This window comes from Homo sapiens, chromosome 12, assembly GCF_000001405.40.
Source record: "Homo sapiens chromosome 12, GRCh38.p14 Primary Assembly".
Classification (NCBI taxonomy): Eukaryota; Metazoa; Chordata; class Mammalia; order Primates; family Hominidae; genus Homo; species Homo sapiens.
This window is the reverse complement of record NC_000012.12, coordinates 48222114-48242264: the sequence shown is the minus strand read 5'-3', so window position 1 is coordinate 48242264 and position 20151 is coordinate 48222114. Positions and strand designations below refer to the sequence as shown.

The 20151-nt window shown below is 35.8% G+C and overlaps 1 long non-coding RNA gene across 10 annotated transcripts in view; it reads right to left on the bottom strand.

Moving 5' to 3' along the window:
* Positions 1-441: 441 nt before the first annotated feature.
* The window catches only part of LOC102725258 (uncharacterized), a 43463-nt gene continuing 23753 nt past the window's right edge, over positions 442-20151 (bottom strand). For 2 of the 10 annotated variants that reach the window (XR_001749121.3, XR_001749122.3), the window contains exon 3: positions 7549-8654. This is a non-coding gene — a long non-coding RNA (uncharacterized LOC102725258). Of the gene's footprint in view, positions 8655-16191; positions 16371-20151 lie in introns of all 10 variants that reach the window. The other 8 variants (XR_002957411.2, XR_944911.3, XR_944912.3 and 5 more) reach the window with 8 other exon arrangements.

Below are 20151 nucleotides of genomic sequence, written 5' to 3'. Positions count from 1 at the left end.
AGCTAGATCTTCTGGATAACTCGCAGCTTCTCCAACAGCACTTGCTGCCTTCCCCTACACTTTTATGTTTGTTCTTCTATCCAGACCATTAAAACGTTCTCCCTATTAGCAATAAGGCTGTTTCACTTTCTTATCATTTGTGTGTCCACTGGAGTAGCACTTTTAATTTCCTTCAAGAACATTTTCTTTGCATTCACCACTTGGCTAACTGTTTGGTGCAGGAAGCTAGCTTTCAGACTTTCCCAGCTTTCAACATGCCTTCCTCACTAAGCTTAGTCATTTCTAACTACTGACTTAAAGTAAGAGATGTGTGACTCTTCCTTTCATTGGAACACTTACAGGCCATTGTAGAGTTATTAATTGGCCTAACTTCAGTATTGCCATATCACAGGGACTAAGGAAGCCAAGGAGAGGTAGAGAGGGTGAGCAGCCAGTTAGTGAAGCAGTTAGAACAAATACATTTATTGTTTGTCTTCTTAGATGGTTGTGGTCCGTGATGCCCCAAAACAATTACAACAGTAACATCAAAAATACTAAAGGCAGATCACCATAACAGATAACAATAATAATAATAATAATAATAGTAATAAAAGTTTGAAATATTGTGAGACCTACCAAAATGTGACACAGAGACACAAAGTGAGCACATGCTGTTGGGAAAATGGTGCCAACAGACTTGCTTAATGCAGGGTTGCCACAAACCTTCAATTTGTAAAAAACTATCTGTGACGTGCAATAAAGCAAAGGACAAAAAACAAGGTATGTTTGTATCAATTTCACTTCCTAATACTATTTATGTCATTGATTAGATAACTCTTTAATTCAAGATCTCCCATATGATTACAGTATCTCATCCCCTTATCTTTGTTTATTTTTACCATCAGTACAATTTTTCAAGACAACATAAACAGCACTGTAGTTCACATTAACCATAGTCCTGCTAAGACTATTGAAAAAATCCAGTCTAATGCTCAGTCTTGCCATCATCAATGACAAAGTCCTTCTGTACAATTTCCTACAAATTCATCTTGTACAAATAACCACACTCTTAATATGCAGGTCCTAATCTATGTGTGGAGTAACTGGTCACTTTTCAACTATGTTTTCTCTCTACCTTTTAGGGTGTTTTTTTTTTTTTTTGGTGACAGAATGGGTATTTTTTTGTTTGTTTTTACAAATTATTTAAAGTACCTTCTAGGGGTGGCTACTGTCAGGAGAAGGAATCTATTCCAAGATTTGTTTGATATTTAATTTATTTGTAATTTAGATTGGGACTCTGGAGGGAAGATGATAAACAACTATCAAGTATTTAGGTGGAAAGAATAAGTGGATATGAGATCCATAAGCTTATCTGCTATCTCCCACTCATGTGGATGCTAGAGAAGTTTCCTTGTGAACAGAGCATGTACTTTTGCCTTTTCGATAGCAGTAAAAATGTGGCATGCCAAGCAAAATCCCTCAAAGTGTCAGTCAGATCATCATTAAATGTGAAGTGTAGTTCAGGGCTCCTCAATTGCAGAGATACGGAGAATTTGCAGTGGAAGAAACTACAAGAGGGCAAAATCTAGAATTGATGGAGAAAAGGGAAAGAAATCATATTTACCTCAAAAAAGGTCTAGATGATACAATAGAAAATACTATTATAAATTGACAAACTTGCCAAATTTGTCCATCACATGGTAAACAAAAGGTTAAACATAAATCTCAATTTTTGGTGAGGCTGGGACAACATAAATAAGACCAGAAGAAATGTAGGTAAGACATAGCCAGATATTTGATACCAGTATCCTTTTAGTTTCCATAACAATCTCAAAAGCTATTTAGACATTAATTCCATCAAGGCCTAAAGGGAGCAGACAAAGTATCCTAAAACGAATTCTCTTGTGAGCCTAAGTGATTAATTTTCAATATGTATATAAATTGTATATAAATATAAGTTCACATTTATTAAATTCATTACATCTTATATGTGATTAGATTATTTCAGTTATTTTAGAGTTTTCTATTTTTGCTTTTTTTATTATTCATTTCCTTATTCTGAGGGCTAATGTTCAGAGTTTTAAGTACAATATATGCTGAAAGAAGGTAAAGGAGATGTGATTTTCAATTAAATACATAAAGTATGTTTAAAAACCACTGGCATGATCTTATTATTATTTTTTTTATTTTACTTTAAGTTCTGGGATACATGTGCAGAATGTGCAGGCTTGTAACATAGGTATTTTTGCATCTGCTTAAGAGCCTGTCTTTTTTTCTCTTAATTTTAATATTTAAAGAAATTATCTCAGAATATGACTTCTGAAGTTTGTATATCTAAGAATTATTAAATTTGATGTATTTTGGTTAATTATACCATGAGTTTAAGCCTTCCAAATCCTTACACAAAGTATCACTTTCTACCTTAAAAATGTGAATTAAAAAATATACAAAACTAAAGAATGCTGAGTTTAAAAACAAATAGAAAATAGAGAAGAACATTAAAAAATAAATCGTTTATAGCTCCACTATCTGTAAGCAGCTACTCTTAACATTTTGGCTGACTTCCTTCCAATCCTTTATCTAATCTTCCTTCCAAAGCAAAGAAAATTTCTTTTTAATTATTGTAATCTAAATCTATTGTAATTTAAATAAAAATTTAATTATTGTAATTTAATTATTGTAATATGCCAAATATGCTGGTATATATTTTGCTTTTTATTTCACTTAAAATTATGATTTCAACATTATTACACAAAGTTCATAAACATAATTTTAATGACTGCATCACATTTCATTAATTTCATTTTCTATGAAATAGCTAATCATTCTCTATTATAGCTCTTAATTTTTTGCTATTATAAATATTATAAATAGTACTATAATACACAATTTTCTGCATAAATCCTTTTCTCAGTTGGTAGCTTCCTCAAGTAAATTTTTAAAATAGATAAATCTATTCATTTAGCAAACTTATATTGTACCACTGTTTGCTAGGCACTGTTCCCAAAAGTCCTATTATTCATTTAATCATCACAGTAATCCAATAATGTAAGTACTATTATGATTATTCTCATTTTAGAGATGAGGAAATCGAGATGTGCTGGTTTACATTACCCCTGTTTACATCGTTGATAAATGGAGGAGTCTGGATTTGAATCCAGGCCCTTGGACTCTGGGATCTGTGTGAGTATAGGGACTCCACATTAAAGGGAATAAACATTTTGAAAGCTTTTGGTACATATTGCCAAACTACTTTCCAGCCAACAATGGAGTATTAGCATTGATGTTATACTTTAATTTTTTTAATTTAATGGATCAGAAATCATATGTAATTGTTTTAAAACTATTGTTTGGTTACTAATGAGTTTGAATGCTTTTGGATGGTGTTTCCTCTTCTATCAATTGAGTTCTTATCCTTTTGTCCCTTAAGATATTGGTATTTTTGATGAACTCTTGATATCATAAATTTAATATATGGTTGACTCTTGTATTTGCTCATTTTTCTAATCAGTTACTTGTTAAAAATAAGTGAAGTGGCTTATTTTTATATACCAAAGTTTTCCACTTGATGTTAGTCAGATATGTCATCTTTCTCTTCATGACTTCTTCTATGATGTAGACAAAGTCCACAAGCTCAAACTCCACCACTGGTCAGAGAGATAATACAATGGGCTGATGTGGGGCTGATGTGGGGCTGATGTGGGCCCGATACAAGGCAACAGGTAGTCTTGAAACTGGGAAGAACTTGCAGCTTGTCCAAACAGGAGGAACACCACTAAATTCCAATTTGTTGTTGATAAGAATAGGCCCACTGTGGCAAGATCTGAATTTTTCCAGAATCCAGATTATTACATACAACATCCTTCAAAGGAAACACTGCAGGCTTAATAAAACATTGGGGTGGGACAGAGGGCTCATAACTTATCACTTTTGCCTCAGAAGTTCTCCATTCAAAATTTTAGATCAGTATTTAATTATATTTCCTTCCAGGTTTTTTAGTGAGTTTTTTATATATTCAAATTTTTATACTACTTGTACTTAGCATTATGGTGTGAAGCAAGCATCTAGTTGCTTCCATAAAACCAAGAAAGGAAAGAGATGGATTTATGTCTCAAAGTTCTCTTCCTTTGCAGAAGGATCAATGAAATGATGGAGAAATATTAAATGTTATGATAGTGGTTTCTCTAATCTTGAAGAAAAAGTTGCCTTTTTTCTCTGTATGATTGACTTACACTGAACACTCTCATTTCCTGAATTATAGTATATAATTTGCTTGTTTGCTTGAAATTAAGGCAGAAGGATCCATAGATAAATTGGAATTTAAAACTCCTTGAAATGCTCAAAAGAAAACTAACAGAAAGGGGAAAGTATCCAAAGTAATGCAAAACTTTCAGAGGATTAAAACAATCAATCTAATCTTGCATTAAATATTGCAGATTTGATAAGTGAATTTCAGGCAGATTTTAGTTAGTGGGCTTATAGTTAGAAAGTGATTAACAAACATCACATTGTTTAAATATTCATTTCCTTTCTCAAAAATCATTAATCAAAAGCTTACTCTGTGCTGGAGCAACAGTAGATGTTTTTGTCCTGCTATTACTATTTTGTAGTTTTTTTACCCTCACTTTTGTCCTGGGAGTGCTGTGATTCTGTGTTAATGAATACAAACATTAAAATTAGAATTATAAAACTGAGGGGTTAGTTTGGTCAGGTCTGCCTGTCCTGCTTGCTTTTGGTTGCTTGCTTTTTGTTATTTTTTATCTCTCCCTGAAGTTGAAGTCTGCAATCACTGAAGGGCATGCCACTGAATGCTGAAACGTAACCTTCACCAGCTACTTTATAGATAACATTCACAGGTCACCATGGTAACGGTTACTTCAGTTGTTTTTCAGAAACTTGGACCTGCTTCTGTCCAGTTCAAACTGGTTGAGACCACTGACCTTTTAACTGGGTCTGCTCAAGTGCTGGAGAGGCGGCCTTTTTATGTTGGAGGGCCAAAGACTCCATCCTCAGTCCATGCTAATGCTGCCATTTTCTGTACATATGTGCTGTGGAATGCCACAAACTCCAGCTAGGCTGTTGCAGAATGAACCTGTTACTTCATTTTTCCCCACTAGCAACCACCTTTCCCCACACCTTAGACCACCTCACTTCCCTAACCCATAAATACCCTTAAGCTTTATCTTTGGGGAGGCAGATTTGAGAGCTGTTCTCCCACCGCCTCCTCGCTGGGTGTCCTTTCGAATAAATCTTTTCTCTTTTGCAAAACCTGAATCATAGTGATTGATTTACTGCTTGAAGGTAGAACAGACCAGAACCTGGCATGTAACAATTATACCAGCAACAAAAGTTGTTGACAAGAAATTACTTTTAACAATTAATTTCATTAACCCAAATTAATTCCTTGATTAGTTTTCTACATAGCACACTTAAAGTATTTCCAATTTTGTCATGTGAATAAAATTACTATTTATGTTGTCATAAATAAACATGAATACAATGTCATGAGTAAAAATACTAAAATTATTTTGATCCGGATGAATTCATTTATGTGTAACTTATCAACACAGTCCTGTTTTAACAGTCTTTTGTTCAATTCAAATTTTACTATAACAGCTTCTACTACTGTGAGTTTTATTTTGGGGGCATTATTTTTATGGAGTTCTATTTTCCAAGGTCAAAATTTATAGATCTAAATCTTGCCACACACAGTTTTTATCTATTTTCAGTTTTATTGTAACCGCCCAAGGATTCATTGTGCCCACTGCCCAGATAAAGCCGATTCATCAAGACAGAGGAATTGCAATAGAGAAAGAGTTTAATTCATACTCAAATCAGTTCAGCTGCCTCTGCATGAATTAAACTCTTTCTGGAAATTCAGAGATTGGAGAGACTGACAATTAAGAGACTGGGGTTTTTTAAGGATAATTTGGTGCATAGGAGGCCAGGGACTGGGGAGTGATGATTGGTCCCATTGGAGATGAAATCATAGGGAGTTGAAGCTGTCTTCTTTGCGCTGAGTCAGTTCCTGAGTGGGGGCCACAGTACCAGATAAGCCACTTTATCCATCTGCGTGGTGGCAGCTGACCCATCAAGTTCAGGGTCTGAAAAATATTCTGAGCACCAATCTTAGATTTTACAATAGTGATGTCATCCCTATTGTAAATGGGGAGGTTTGGAATCTGTGACCTCTCGCTGCCTAACTCCTAAACCATAATTTCTAAACTTGTGGCTAATTTGTTAGTCCTATAAAGCAAGAAGAGGGTTTGTTTCAGGAAAGAGCTGTTATCATCTTTGTTTCAAAGTTGAAACTATAAACTAAGTTCCTCCCAAAGTTAGTTTGGCCTATGCCCAGGAATGAACGAGGACAGGTTGGAGGTTGGAAGCAAGATGGAGTCACTTAGGTCAGATCTCTTTCACTGTCATAATTTTCTCACTGTTACAATTTTTGCAAAGGTGGTTTCATTATTTTATATTATTTCTAGTTTTTTAAATTAGTTCTGTTATAGTTAGTATTTATTTCTTAGCTAATTCATGATAAAATTGTTAAATCTCTCAGTATTGGTCTCTTGCCCAGAATCATCTGTTACAAAGCCAATTTAATTCTTCTTATTATTTTTTGGACCTTGTATAAACTGTCCACGACACTTGTGGCCCAAAGCGCAAATATGCAGATAAAAGAGATTGCCTCTAAAAAAATAAAGCTGCTTTCTCTAAAAGAAAGGGGAAAATGCTAGGTTTGGGGGGGAAGGCTTTCTTGAGAAGATAGCATATGATCCGCATCACAAAAGACGAGAAAGAATTCACCAGGTGCCCATAGAGTCAAAGAACATTCCATAGAAAAAGCAAGTGTTAAAAACATGGAGGCAGGGAGAGGAGAACACATCATAGCACCAAATAAAAACTGAATGAACAAATACATCATCACTTCTAATATGAGGTTATAGAAAGTAAAGACAAATGGATGGGTTTGTGTATGGTAAATAGTAACTGGATTGTAGGATACATGGGAAGGGTGAAGGAGGTTTTAAATAAGAACATGAAGGGCTATGGAGATGAGTGAGTGGACGATGACATTCAGGCTCCCACTTAAATGAGTGGATGTACCTTGATGCTGTTAAACAAGAAAGAAAACACAGAAGGACATGAAGGCAACTGTCCATTCGTTGCTCTTGGACCATCTTGCCTTGAAAGATCTGACACACTGGAATCTGTTTTTTTTCCAAAGACCCCAGGAAAGATTTTTCACTGCTCCTTTGTTCAGTCATTTTGATGCTTTCAAATCCCTCATTAAAATCAGCAAAGGCCAGGAGCAATGGCTTACGCCTGTAATCCCAGCACTTTCGGAGGCTAGGCAGGCAGATCACTTGAGGTCAGGAGTTTGAGACCAGCCTGGCCAATATGATAAAATCCCATCTCTATTAAAAATATATATAAAAAAAAAAATTAGCCAGGTGTGGTGGTGCACACCTGTAGTCCCAGCTACTAGGGAGGCTAAGGCAGAAGAATTGTTTGAACCCGGGAAGCGGAGGTTGCAGTGAGCCGAGATTATGCCATTGCACTCCAGCCTGGGTGTCGCAGCAAGACACTGTCTCAAAAACAAAAACAAAAACAAAACAACAACAACAAAAATCAGCAAAATATTCCTGTTGTCTAACCGACTAATACTCTTGCTGTGTTTACCTCCATTTCCCATTCTGTCTTGAAAGAAATGGAGAACAGCTAGTTACCATATTTTAATAGGTGTATTTCCCAGGATGTTTTGTCTTAACCTCTCAAGTCTCTCTTTTCTGTATTCTGATTCAATCCCCTCCGTAACATATAACTCTTTGTTTCAGGGATTATTTGATCAGCCTGTTGGCCAGTGGTATTATGGCCACTGAATTTTTTAAAAATGCAAAATGTACATGTTTACTTAGTTGTTCTTACACTTTGCTCCATGCCTTCCAACAATTTCTTCTTTAGTTGTTTCTTTTCTTATTTTGTGGAAACTTGAAATTTAATGAGGAAATAAGGACAGCAAGTTATGGTAAAAGAGCCCATGAATATTTTGCCTGAGGAAAAACACTAACATGGTTAATCAGTGTCTTCAAATCTCAAAGGGTCTCCTTCTACCCCACCATAATAAATAATTCTTTACCATGGATTAAGTTCAAAGAATGAGGAATATAACTATAAGGAAGTGTGAATTATAGTGTGTGTGTGGGTGTGTGTGTATTCCCACCCAAGTGGAACATTAATGGCATAACCTACCTTAGGAGGTTGTGGTGTCTCTGCCCTAGACACCTTGGCGCCGTGGACGAAGTACTCTAAAAACTTAGAAGAACCTAGTGTGAGTCTCATCACTTTCATTTACTAGCTACATGACTTTGGGGAAGTTACTTTATCACTCTGAGGCTCAATTTCCCCATCTGTAAAATGGAGATAGTATACATTTCATATAATTTTATGAGTTAGATGGGATCATATATATGAATATGCTTTGTAAATTATAAATTATTATAAATAGGTAAATAACCTTTATCTGAGAAAACATTCTTCTGGAATGGCTTGAGAGATTTCATGTGGGATTATATATGCTTCACTTCTGAAGAGGGTCCCAACATCAGATGTCCTACCTGGGCTAGCTCATCTGCAAGCTCCATGAGTCCTCTCTCGCACCTGCTGCAGTGATTCTGCAACAAACAGATCATTCCCAGTCAGAGCAATAGAAGGAGGTAAGACAAGATTTCCAAAAAAATTGTCCCATTTTGTGTACATGCCATGATATATGTAACCAGTGCCCAATCTGAGGGATATGAAGACTACTTCTAGGGCAAAGATGAACAGTAGGGTCAGAATTGTTACCTGTTATTTCCTCCTAATGGAAAAAGTTTAGGTAGAAATTCTGGCCTCCCTACAGGCTGAGGCAGAGACATGAAGAGAGGGGCAGAAATGCACCCTATTCCCAGAAATGTCATCTTCAAATAATAATTTTGCCTGTTCATTTTCATTCCAAGTGATGTAGTGGAGCCAGCTGGTACCAGCTCTCAAGAGCCAATTGTTAAATTTCAAGAGTTTTGAAAATTGATTGTTAAACATAGCCATTATTAATATTTTAAAACGAAGGTAATAAATACTTAAAATTCATCATCACTTCCTAATTTTGTCACTATATTTTACTATTATCTATACTCTCAAGATTATTTATGTCTATTGTATCCGTATGGTAGGAAAGCCGTATAATAGCAACCTAACATATCTCTTCCCAGCTCCATGATTAGTGGTGTCTCATGGGTAATTTGAAATAAGTCATTGTGGAATTGTTTATACCATGAAAATTGGCAAATGCTACAAATAAGGTACCCCCCACCCAGAGCCATTTGTTAAACACTTAACCAGCACACCACTCATTTAATTCATTTGTCTAAATGCTTTTGGCTAGTACTTGCAGGGCACCCAAAAGCTCAAAGCAGTGTGGAGAGTTAGTTGACAATGCAGCTTCTGGAATCAGACTCCTGAGGTTTAAATTTGAGCTTTACCACTTACTGTATACCTTGGACAAGTTACTGACCCTTTCTTTGTATCTGTAAAATGAGGATAAAAGAAGAACTCCTACCTCATAGGATTACTGTGAAGCTTAAAACGATTACTACTAATAACACATACAGAACAAACAATACCTAACACACAGTATGTAATTACTTTGATTTAGATTAGTTATGTTAATTTAGTTTTAATTATGACATGGAAGCATCCTTCTAGTCCTATTTTACTAAAAAAATTTTAAGAACTGGGTATCAACATCAAATTTTATCAAATGCCTTTTAAACATCTATATAATTGATTAGAAGTTTTTCATCTTTGAAATATTAATATAGTGAGTTGTATTAGTGGGATTCCCCCTATTAGAAGAACCTTTAATCCCTCAAATGAATTTCACCTGGTCATGATGTACTATTCTTTGAATGCACTGCTGAATTCCATTTGCTAATAATTTAGTCTATTTCACCATTATTAATAAATCACCTTAGTTATAATTTTCTTTTGTATAATTTTTCAAGTTTTAGTCTCAATGGTTTGATGACTTTGTGAAAGTAATCAGCGATCCTTATTTTTTCTGTCCTTGCAAACAGTTTCATTAGCCTTGAAAATATCCGATTGCTACAAGATTTAAAATTTACCTATGGAGCTATCGGGGCCTGAAGCTATTTTGAGGCATAGCCTTTTGTTAACTTCCTCTATCTGAATGGCTCTCAAAGTTGGTTGCACATTGAAATCACCTGGGGAGCTTTTAAAAAATACTGATGCTATTGTGAAAGACAGTGTGGTGATTCCTCAAAGACCTAAAGACAGATACTGGGTATATACCCAAAGGAATATAAATAATTCTATCATAAAGACACATGCACATGTATGTTCACTGCAACACTGTTTGCAATAGCAAAGACATGGAATCAACATAAATGCCCATCACTGATAGACTGGATAAAGAAAATGTGGTACATATATACCATGGAATACTATGCAGCCATAAAAAAGAATGAGATCATGTCCTTTGCAGGGACATGAATGGAGCTAGGGGCCACTATCCTTAGAAAACTAACACAGGAACATAAAAACAAATATCACATGTGTTCACTTATAAGTGGGTGCTAAATATGAGAACTCATGGATATATAGAGGGGAACAACACATGCTGGGGCCTATTAGAGGATGGAGAGTGGAGGGTGGGAGGAAGGAGAGGATCAGGAAAAATAACTTATGGGTACTAGGCTTAATACCTGGGTGATGAAATAATCTGTACAAGAAACCCGCATGACACAAGTTTACCAGTGTCACAAACCCGCACAGGTACCCCTGATCTTAAAATGAAAGTTTAAAAAGTAAAAATAAATAAATAAATAAATAAATAAATAAATAAATAAATAAATAATACTGTTGCCTATGTGATGTGGTAGATACATTAATTAGCTTGATTTAATCATTTTGCTAACATATCAAAACATCACATTGTTTTCTATAAATATATAATTATTGTCAATTAGATTTTCTTCAAATATTAATACCTGAGTGTTTCTTTCCTGGTTTTTTTTTTTTTTTTTTTTTTTTTTTCACAGAAGGGGTCTTATTCTGTTGCCCAGGCTGGAGTGCAGTGGTGCAATCATAACTCACTGCAGCCTTGAACTCTCAGGCTCAAGTGATCCTCTCCCTTCAGCCTCTTGAGTAGCTGAGTCTGCAGGTATGTGCCACCATGCCCAGCTCCAATATGTTATTTTAATTGGTCTGGTATGCATCCTAGGGATGGGGATATTTAAAAGCTCTCCAAGTGACCACAATGTAAAGCCAAGGTTCAGAACTACTGCATTACATTCATTTCACTCAGTATATTTAATTTTGTTTCTATCTTTCATTCAACAAATTTTATTGATTCATATTAACCCAGAAAATTACCTACTTCTTTCTGGCTTTCAAAGTGATTGCCATAGAGTCTTGCAAAGTACTGTTGCATAATTATTTTTATTTTCTTTGTGGCTGTGATTATTTCACCTTTTAAAATTTGTGTATTTTTGCTCTCTTTCTACCACTTCATTTTTAATTATTAGATAGACAGTAGTTTGTCTATTTTATTGGCTTTTTTTTTTTTGAGACGGAGTTTCTCTCTTGTTGCCCAGGCTGGAGTGCAATGGCGCGATCTTGGCTCATCGCAACCTCCGCCTCCAGGGTTCAAGCGATTCTCCTGCCTCAGCCTCCTGAGTAGCTGGGATTACAGGTATGTGCCACCACACCCGGCTAATTTTGTGTTTTTAGGAGAGATGGGGTTTCTCCATGTTGGTCAGGCTGGTCTCAAACTCCCAACCTCAGGTGATCCGCCCACCTTGGCCTCCCAAAGTGCTGGGATTACAGGTGTGAGCCACCATGCCCGGCGTTTATTGGCTTTTTCCTAGGACCAATTCTTGAATTCATTTACTGATTCTATTCTATTTCTGGTTTGTTTTTTTTAATTTTTTTATTTCCACAGGTTTTGGGGGAACAGGTGGTACTTGGTTACATGAGTAAGTTCTTTAGTAGTGATTTGTGAGATTTTGATGCACTCATCACCTGAGCAGGATACACTGCACTTATTTGTAGTCTTTTATACCTCACCCCCACCCACTCTTTCCTCTGAGTACCCTAAGTCTATTGTATCATTCTTATGCCTTTGCATCCTCATAGCTTAGCTCCCATTTATGACTCAGGACATACAATGTGTGGTTTTCCATTCCTGAGTTACTTTACTTAGAATAATAGTCTCCAGTTCCATCCAGGTTGCTATGAATGCCATTAATTCAATCCTTTTTATGACTGAGTAGTATTCCATTTTATATATATATATATATATATGTATATGTGTATATATATACGTATATATGTATATATACACATATACATACATATATAAGTATATATACGTATATATACACATATACATACATATATAAGTATATATACGTATATATATACACATATATATACATATATACGTATATATATACACATATATATACATATATATATACGTATATATATGTATATATATCTCACAACTTCTTCATCCACTCATTGAATGAGGGACCTTTGGGCTGGTTCCATATTCTTGAAATTACGAATTGTGCTGCTATAAACATGTGTGTGCAAGTATCTTTTTTGTATAATGACTTCTTTTCCTCTGGGTAGATACCCAATAGTGGGATTGCTGGATCAAATGGCAGTTCTACTATTAGTTCTTTAAGGAATCTCCATGCTGTTTTCCATAGGTTGTACTAGTTTACATTCCCACCAGCAGTGTAGAAGTGTTCCCTTTTCACAGCATCCATGCCAACATCTATTCTTTTTTGATTTTTTGATTATGGCTATTCTTGCAGGAGTAAGGTGGTATCACACTGTGGTTTTGATTTGCATTTTTCTGATCATTGGTGATGTTGAGCAGTTTTTCATATTTTTTGGCCATTTGTATATCTTCTTTTAAGCCAACTTTTTTATGGGACTGTTTGATTTTTTCCTGCTAATTTGCTTGAGTTCTTTATAGATTCTGGATATTAGCCCTTTGTCAGATGTATTATTATGAAGATTTTCTCTCACTCTGTGGGTTGTCTGTTTACTCTGCTGATTCTTCCTTTTGCTGTGGAAAAGCTCTTTAGTAAGTCTGAGCTATTCATCTTTGTTTTTGTTGCATTTGCTTTTGGGTTCTTGGTCATGAAGTATTTGCCTAAACCAATCTCTAGGAGTGTTTGTCCAATGTTATCTGCTAGAACTTTTATAGTTTCAGGTCTTAGATTTAAGTCCTTCATTCATCTTGAGTTGATTTTTGTATAAGGTGAGAGACGGGGATCCAATTTCATTCTCATACATGTGGCTAGCCAATTATCCCAGCACCATTTGTTGAAAAGAGTGTCCTTTCCCCATTTTATGTTTTTGTTTGCTTTGTCAACGATCAGTTGGCTGTATGTATTTGGGTTTATTTCTGGATTCTCTATTCTGTTCTATTGGTTGATGTGCCTATTTTTATACCAGTACCATACTGTTTTGGTGACTATAGCCTTATAGTATAGTTTGAAATCAGTAATGTGATGCCTCCAGATTTGTTCTTTTTGCTTAGGCTTGCTTTGGCTATTTGGGCTCTTATTTGGTTCCATATGAATTTTAGGATTTTTTTTCTAGTTCTGTGAAGAATGATGATGATATTTTGATGGGAATTGCATTGAATTTGTAGATTGCCTTTGGCAGAATGGTCATTTTCACAATAATTGATTTTACCCATCCGTGAGCATGAGATGTGTTTCCATTTGTTTGTGGTGTCTATGATTTCTTTCAGCAGTGTTTTGTAGTTTTCCTTGTAGAGGTCTTTCACCTCCTTGGTTAGGTATATTCCTAAGTTTGTTTGTTTGTTTTGTGGCTATTGTAAAAGGGGTTGAGTTCTTAATTTGATTCTCAGTTTGGTTGCTGCTGGTGTATAGCAGAGCTACTGATTTGTATACATTAATTTTGTATCTTAAAACTTTGCTGAATTTATTTATAAGTTCTAGGAGCTTTCTGGATGAGTTTTTAGGGTTTTCTAGGCATATGATCATATCATCAGCAAACAGCGACAGTTTGACTCTTTACCAATTTGGATGCCCTTTATTTCCTTCTCTTGTCTGATTGCTCTGGCTAGGACTTCCAGTACTATGTTGAATAGAAGTGGTGAGAGTGGGCATCCTTGTCTTGTTCCAGTTCTCAGAGGGAATGCTTTCCACTTTTCCCCATTCAGTATTATGTTGGCTGTGAGTTTGTCATAGATGGCTTTTATTACATTGAGGTATGTCCCTGGTATGCCAATTTTGCTGAAGGTTTTAATCATAAAGAGACGCTGGATTTTGTCAAATGCTTCTTCTGCATCTATTGAGATGATCATGTGATTTTTGTTTTTAATTCTGTTTATGCGGCATATCACATTTATTGACTTGTGTATGTTAAACCATCCCTGCATCCCTGGCATGCAACCCACTCGATCATGCTGGATTATCTTTTTGATATGCTGTTGGATTCAGTTAGCTAGTATTTTGTTAAGAATTTTTGCATCTGTGTTCATCAGGGATATTGGTCTGTAGTTTTCTTTTTTGTCATGTCCTTTCCTGGTTTTGGTATTAGGGTGATAGTGGCTTCATAGAATAATTTAGGAAGGATTCCCTCTTTCTCTACCTTGTGGAATAATGTCAATTGGATTGTTACCAATTCTTTGAATGTCTGATAGAATTTAGCCGTGAATACATCTGGTCCTGGACTTTTTTTTCCTTGGTAACTTTTGTATTACCATTTCAATCTTGCTGCTTGTTATTGTTCTGTTCAGGGTTTCTAATTATTCTTGATTTAAGCTAGAAAGTCAACAACGAAACAGTGGATTTAATCTATGCACTAGAACAAATGGACTTAACAGATATTTACAGAACATTCTACCCAATAGTCACAGAATATACATCCTATTCATGAGCACATGGAACTTTCTCCAAGACAGACCATATGATAGTCACAAAACAAGTCCCAATAAATTTAAGAAAACTGAAATTATATCAAGTACTCTCTCAGAACACAGTGGAAAAAATCAGAAATCAACTCCAAAGGAACCTTTGAAATCATGCAAATACATGGAAATTAAATAACCTGCTCCTGAATGATCATTGAGTCAACAATGAAATCCAAATGGAAATTTGAAAATTCTTTGAACTCAACGGTAATAGTGACACAACCTATCAAAACCTCTGGGATACAGCAAAGGCTGTGCTAAGAGGAAAGTTCATAGCCTTAAATGCCTACATCAAAAAGTCTGAAAAAGTACAAATAGACAATCTAAGGTCATACCTCAAGGAACTACAGAAACAAGAACAAATCAAACCCAAACCCAGCAGAAGAAAAGAAATAACAAAGATCAGAGCAGAACAAAGTGAAATTGAAACAAAAAAAATACAGAAGATAAATGAAACAAATAGCTGTTTCTTTGACAATATAAATAAAATTGATGGACCATTAGCAAAATTAACCAAGAAAAGAGAGAAGATCCAAATAAGCTCAATTAGAAACAAAATGGGAAATATTACAACCAACACCACAAAAATAAAAAAGATTGTTCAAGACTACTATGAACACCTTTACACGCATAAACTAGAAAACCTAGAGGAGATAGATAAATTACTGAAAACATACAACCCTTTTTCTGTTTTCTTACTCAACAATTTCTGCTTTGATCTTTACAAATTTTCTGCTTCTGGTCTTCCCTTTGTTAATTTTGTTTATCTGCTTCTAATCTCTTTGGCAATTTCATTTTGTTTTGTGTCATTTAAGTTCATTTATCCTTATTCTTTTCGTTAAGTAATAGAAGTATTTCAGGCTATTAAATTTTCCTCCAATAAATATCTGTGTACAGTATTCGTTAATATATAATACTTTTATCTGAATTTTTTAAGATCACTTACAATTGTTTTGAGTTCCTGCTTAATATAAGAGTTGTTTTTGGATGGCTTCTTAGTTTTTCAATTTTCAAGTAGGTAATGTCAGTTTTATTATTGTCACGGAATCACTTCTGAATTGGTTGAACAATCCTTCGAAAACATCTCCTTGGTAAAACTTAATTGAATATGTTTAACACTAGACACTTAAACAATAGGAAAAGTAACTGATCTATTGAGTTTTATAAACAGAAGAACTGGCACCAGATACCTTTCCATCCCAAGCAGATTGATCTCCTGGCTTGAACTTTCTTGGGAAGGGAATAGTTAGGACTCAATGCATCATCTAAAAGGATGGATGGTGTCCGTCAGGTACAGAATCCCAGGTGTGCAACCAGGAGTGAGGCTTTTTTCATTGCTTCCTTCCATGCTCTGTCAGAAGCAAGTTCACTGTAAGGTCATTATGGTAGGCAAGGGTCAGCAAATTTGTTCTATGAAAGGCCAGATAGTAAGTATTATAGATTTCGTGTGCTGGGTTACTGATATTGCATATGGGACATACTCATAATAAAAAATTGTTTATTGTTTATCTCAAACTCAAATTCAACTGGGTGACTTATATTTTTATTTGATAAATCTGGCCACCCTACTTATAAGCCATATGGTCTCTGTGGCAACTACTTAGCCCTGCTGTTGTAGTGGGAAACAACCATAGACAATACTTGAATCAGTGGGTGTGGCTGCATTCCAGTTAAACTTCATAAAAATTGGCAGTGGGCTATATTTGGCCTGAGGGCCATGGTTTGTCCACCTCTGCGTTAAACCACTGTTTTTCAACATTTTATGTGCATCAGAATACCATGGAGGGTTTTTTAAAACACTGATTTCTGAGCCCCATCCCTGGAGTTCATGATTCCCTAGATTTGGGATGAACCTCAACAGTTTGCATCTCTATCAAACTCCCAGGTGATGCTGCTCCTGGTGGTCTGTAGGCCACACTTTGAGTATCGTTGCATTCAAGGAAATGCCTTATTGCCTTTTTGTTGCTAGAACCCACTTAGAGTAACATAGGCTTTTTTATTACTATTTAAAGACTTCATCAATCTTATGAGACAAAAACTTCTAAATGCTGAAATTTAAATAGTCTCATGTCCAGAACTTCCTAGCCAGCAAGGCTTCTCTAACACATATGGAAACTTTAGGCTAATTATAAAAAGTCACTCCCTCTCAGGGAAGAATTAGAAAAAAGGCACAGCTTTTTTTTCCTTCAACTTTTATTTTAAGTTGAGGGGTTCATGTGCAGGATGTGCAGGCTTGTTACATAGGTAAAGATGTGCCATGGTAGTTTTCTGCACAGATCATCCCATCACCTAGGTATTTAAGCCAAGCAACCATTAGCTATTCTTCCTGATGCTCTCCCTCCCCCCAGTCCCCAATGGGCCCCAGTGTGTGTTGTTCCCCTCTGTGTGTCCATGTGTTCTCATCATTCAGCTCCCAATTATAAGTGAGAACAGGCAGTGTTTGGTTTTCTGTTCCTGCATTAGTTTGTTGAGGATAACGGCTTCCAACTCCATCCATGTCCCTACAAAGGACGTGATCTTGCTCCTTTTTATGGCTGCATAGTATTCCATGGTGTATATGTACCACATTTTCTTTATCCAGTTTATCACTGATGGGCATTTAGGTTGATTACATGTCTTTGCTATTGTGAATAGTGCTGCAATGAACATACACAAAGGCACCACTTCTTCTGAATTCACACAGCCCCTCGCCAGGATACACAGCTTGGTCAGTTGAGTGCAGGCCAGATTTCAGCATCTATTCTTCCCTTCAGGAGCCTCTATGCAGTGCACAGACTGCATGACACAGCTGGTTGACCAGAAGAATGTTATCTACAATTTACTTAATCAAAATAACACATTCTAAATTTAAAATATTCCATATGAATTTATTTGTTTTCTTGCAGTGAAAAGAAAAACATGAAAGAATATTCTTAAGGAAAATCCCATGCACAAGCTGATACCTGCTCTCCTTTCCTCATATCTCAAGGGGAGAAAATAAACAGAAGTTTAAGAAATGTTTAAGAAAATTTAAGAAATAAACAGAATTTTAATGTCTAGTTTTAGTGTAGTGAATATGGTCTGAACTGTTTTGGCTCTTTGGAATTCAGTTTTCTTTATAGTCTAATATGTCAACAGTAGTATTTTGTAAATGTTCCACGACCCTTCACAAGAAGGTATATTCCCTATTTGGAGATGATAGATTTTAAAATATTTCTACTGATAAACATATCCTTTTCTGTAGTAATGTCTATATATCATGGGTTCTCTATATTCTTACTTATCTTCCTGATATAAGAATGACTTGGGATGTAGGAGAATACCAATGAGGGAAGGGAGAGAGTTTCCATGTGTCATTTTGTATCCTGGCCACATAGCACAATACTGACAACATAACAGGCACTCCCCTATCAAATGAATGAGCTCTTTTTGGCTGTAAAGTAGGTGGAGTGCAATTGGCCCCAGTGATCCATTCAAATAAAAATGGATTTCTATCCTCTTTCCTTTCTCCCAACTGGGCTTGTAGTATATTCCCTAATCTGGAGTCAGCTATAATTGGTGCATTTTAATTAGAAAAACCAGTCAATATTTTTCTCTGATGTTTCTTCTCTTTGGTTCCAGTCTTATTCATTGAGGTTACACAGACAAAGTAAATTCTCTCTTCTAAATGGAAAACCTGTAAACATCCATGTTTGGCTTTCAGCAAAAGAACGATAATAAAAATTAGAAAAATTTGTGAAACCCAAAATAACAATGAAACTACATATAATTTTGTGGAATATAACTAGGGCAGTAATTAGGGCAGAACTTTCTCTTAAAAGAAGTTAAAATTTTAAAAATTAGCAAACAACTTAATCACAGAATAAAATACATTATGCAAGGAAAGGGAAAGGAAGAAAAAATGCACATAATAGATGGATTGAACAAAATTCAAAGATTGATTAAACTAATAAAGGTCGAAGAAATTAATACTTTGACAGTTCTCTGGCATGATTTATGTTATAAAAAAACAGACTTAAATAAACAATATTAAAAATGAAAGGGGCACAGATGTTGCAGACTGAATTATAAGGGGGGCTTCTGCTTCTGATATTTATAGACAAGGTAATTTGGATCAACCATCTCAACAAAAACAACCAAAAGCTTGACACATTTTAAAATATCTACAATAAAGGCATTAAAGAACTAAAAATGCAGTGAAGAATTTTAGAGCCAAGATCCAGGAGCATTCACTATGTATTTAGCCACATTAGAAATAGCTGATGTCGCCAGGCGTGGTGGTTCACGCCTGTAATCCCAGCACTTTGGGTGGCCGAGGCTGGTGGATCACCTCAGGTCAGGAGTTTGAGACCAGACTGGCCAACATGGTGAAACCTGCCTCTACTAAAAATACAAAAATTAGCTAGGAGTGGTGGCGGACCCAGCTACTCGGGAGGCTGAGGCAGGAGAATCGCTTGAACCCGGGAGGCAGAGGTTGCAATGAGCCAAGATCATGCCATTGCACTCCTGCCTGGGTGACAGAGCGAGACTCTGTCTCAAAAAAAAAAAAGAAAGAAAGAAAGAAAGAGGGAGGAAGGGAGGGAGGGAGAGAGAGACAGAAAAAGAAAGAAAGAAAAAGAAAGAAAGAAGCAAAGCAAAGCAATAGCTGATGTAGCTGAGGAAAGAACTGGTAAAGTGAGTGACTCATGCCTGTAATCTAGACACTTTGGGAGGCTGAGATGGGAGGATCGTTTGAGTCCAGGAGTTCAAGACCAGCCTAGGCAACATGGCAAAACTCTGTCTCTACAAAAAATACAAAAAATTATCGGGGCGTGGTGGTGCAAGCCTGTAGTCCCAGCTACTCAGGAGGCTGATGTGGGAGGATAGCTTGAGCTCGGGAGGTCAAGGCTACAGTAAGCCATGATCATGCCACTGCACTCCACCCTGGGCAACAAAGCAAGACCCTGTCTCAAAAAAAAAACAAAAAACAAAAAAAAAACAAAAAGAAAGAAAGAATTGGTAAAGATGAAGGTATGTCATAAAGAAGATGAAAGAAAGAATGGATAGAGCAAAAGCAATATTTGAAGAGAAAATAGCTTGGAATTAAAGAGGCCTTAAATATCTTCAAAATATTTTATTTATAAAAAGAAAGCCATAGCTTGACACATCACTAGAACTTCTGAAAATGAAAG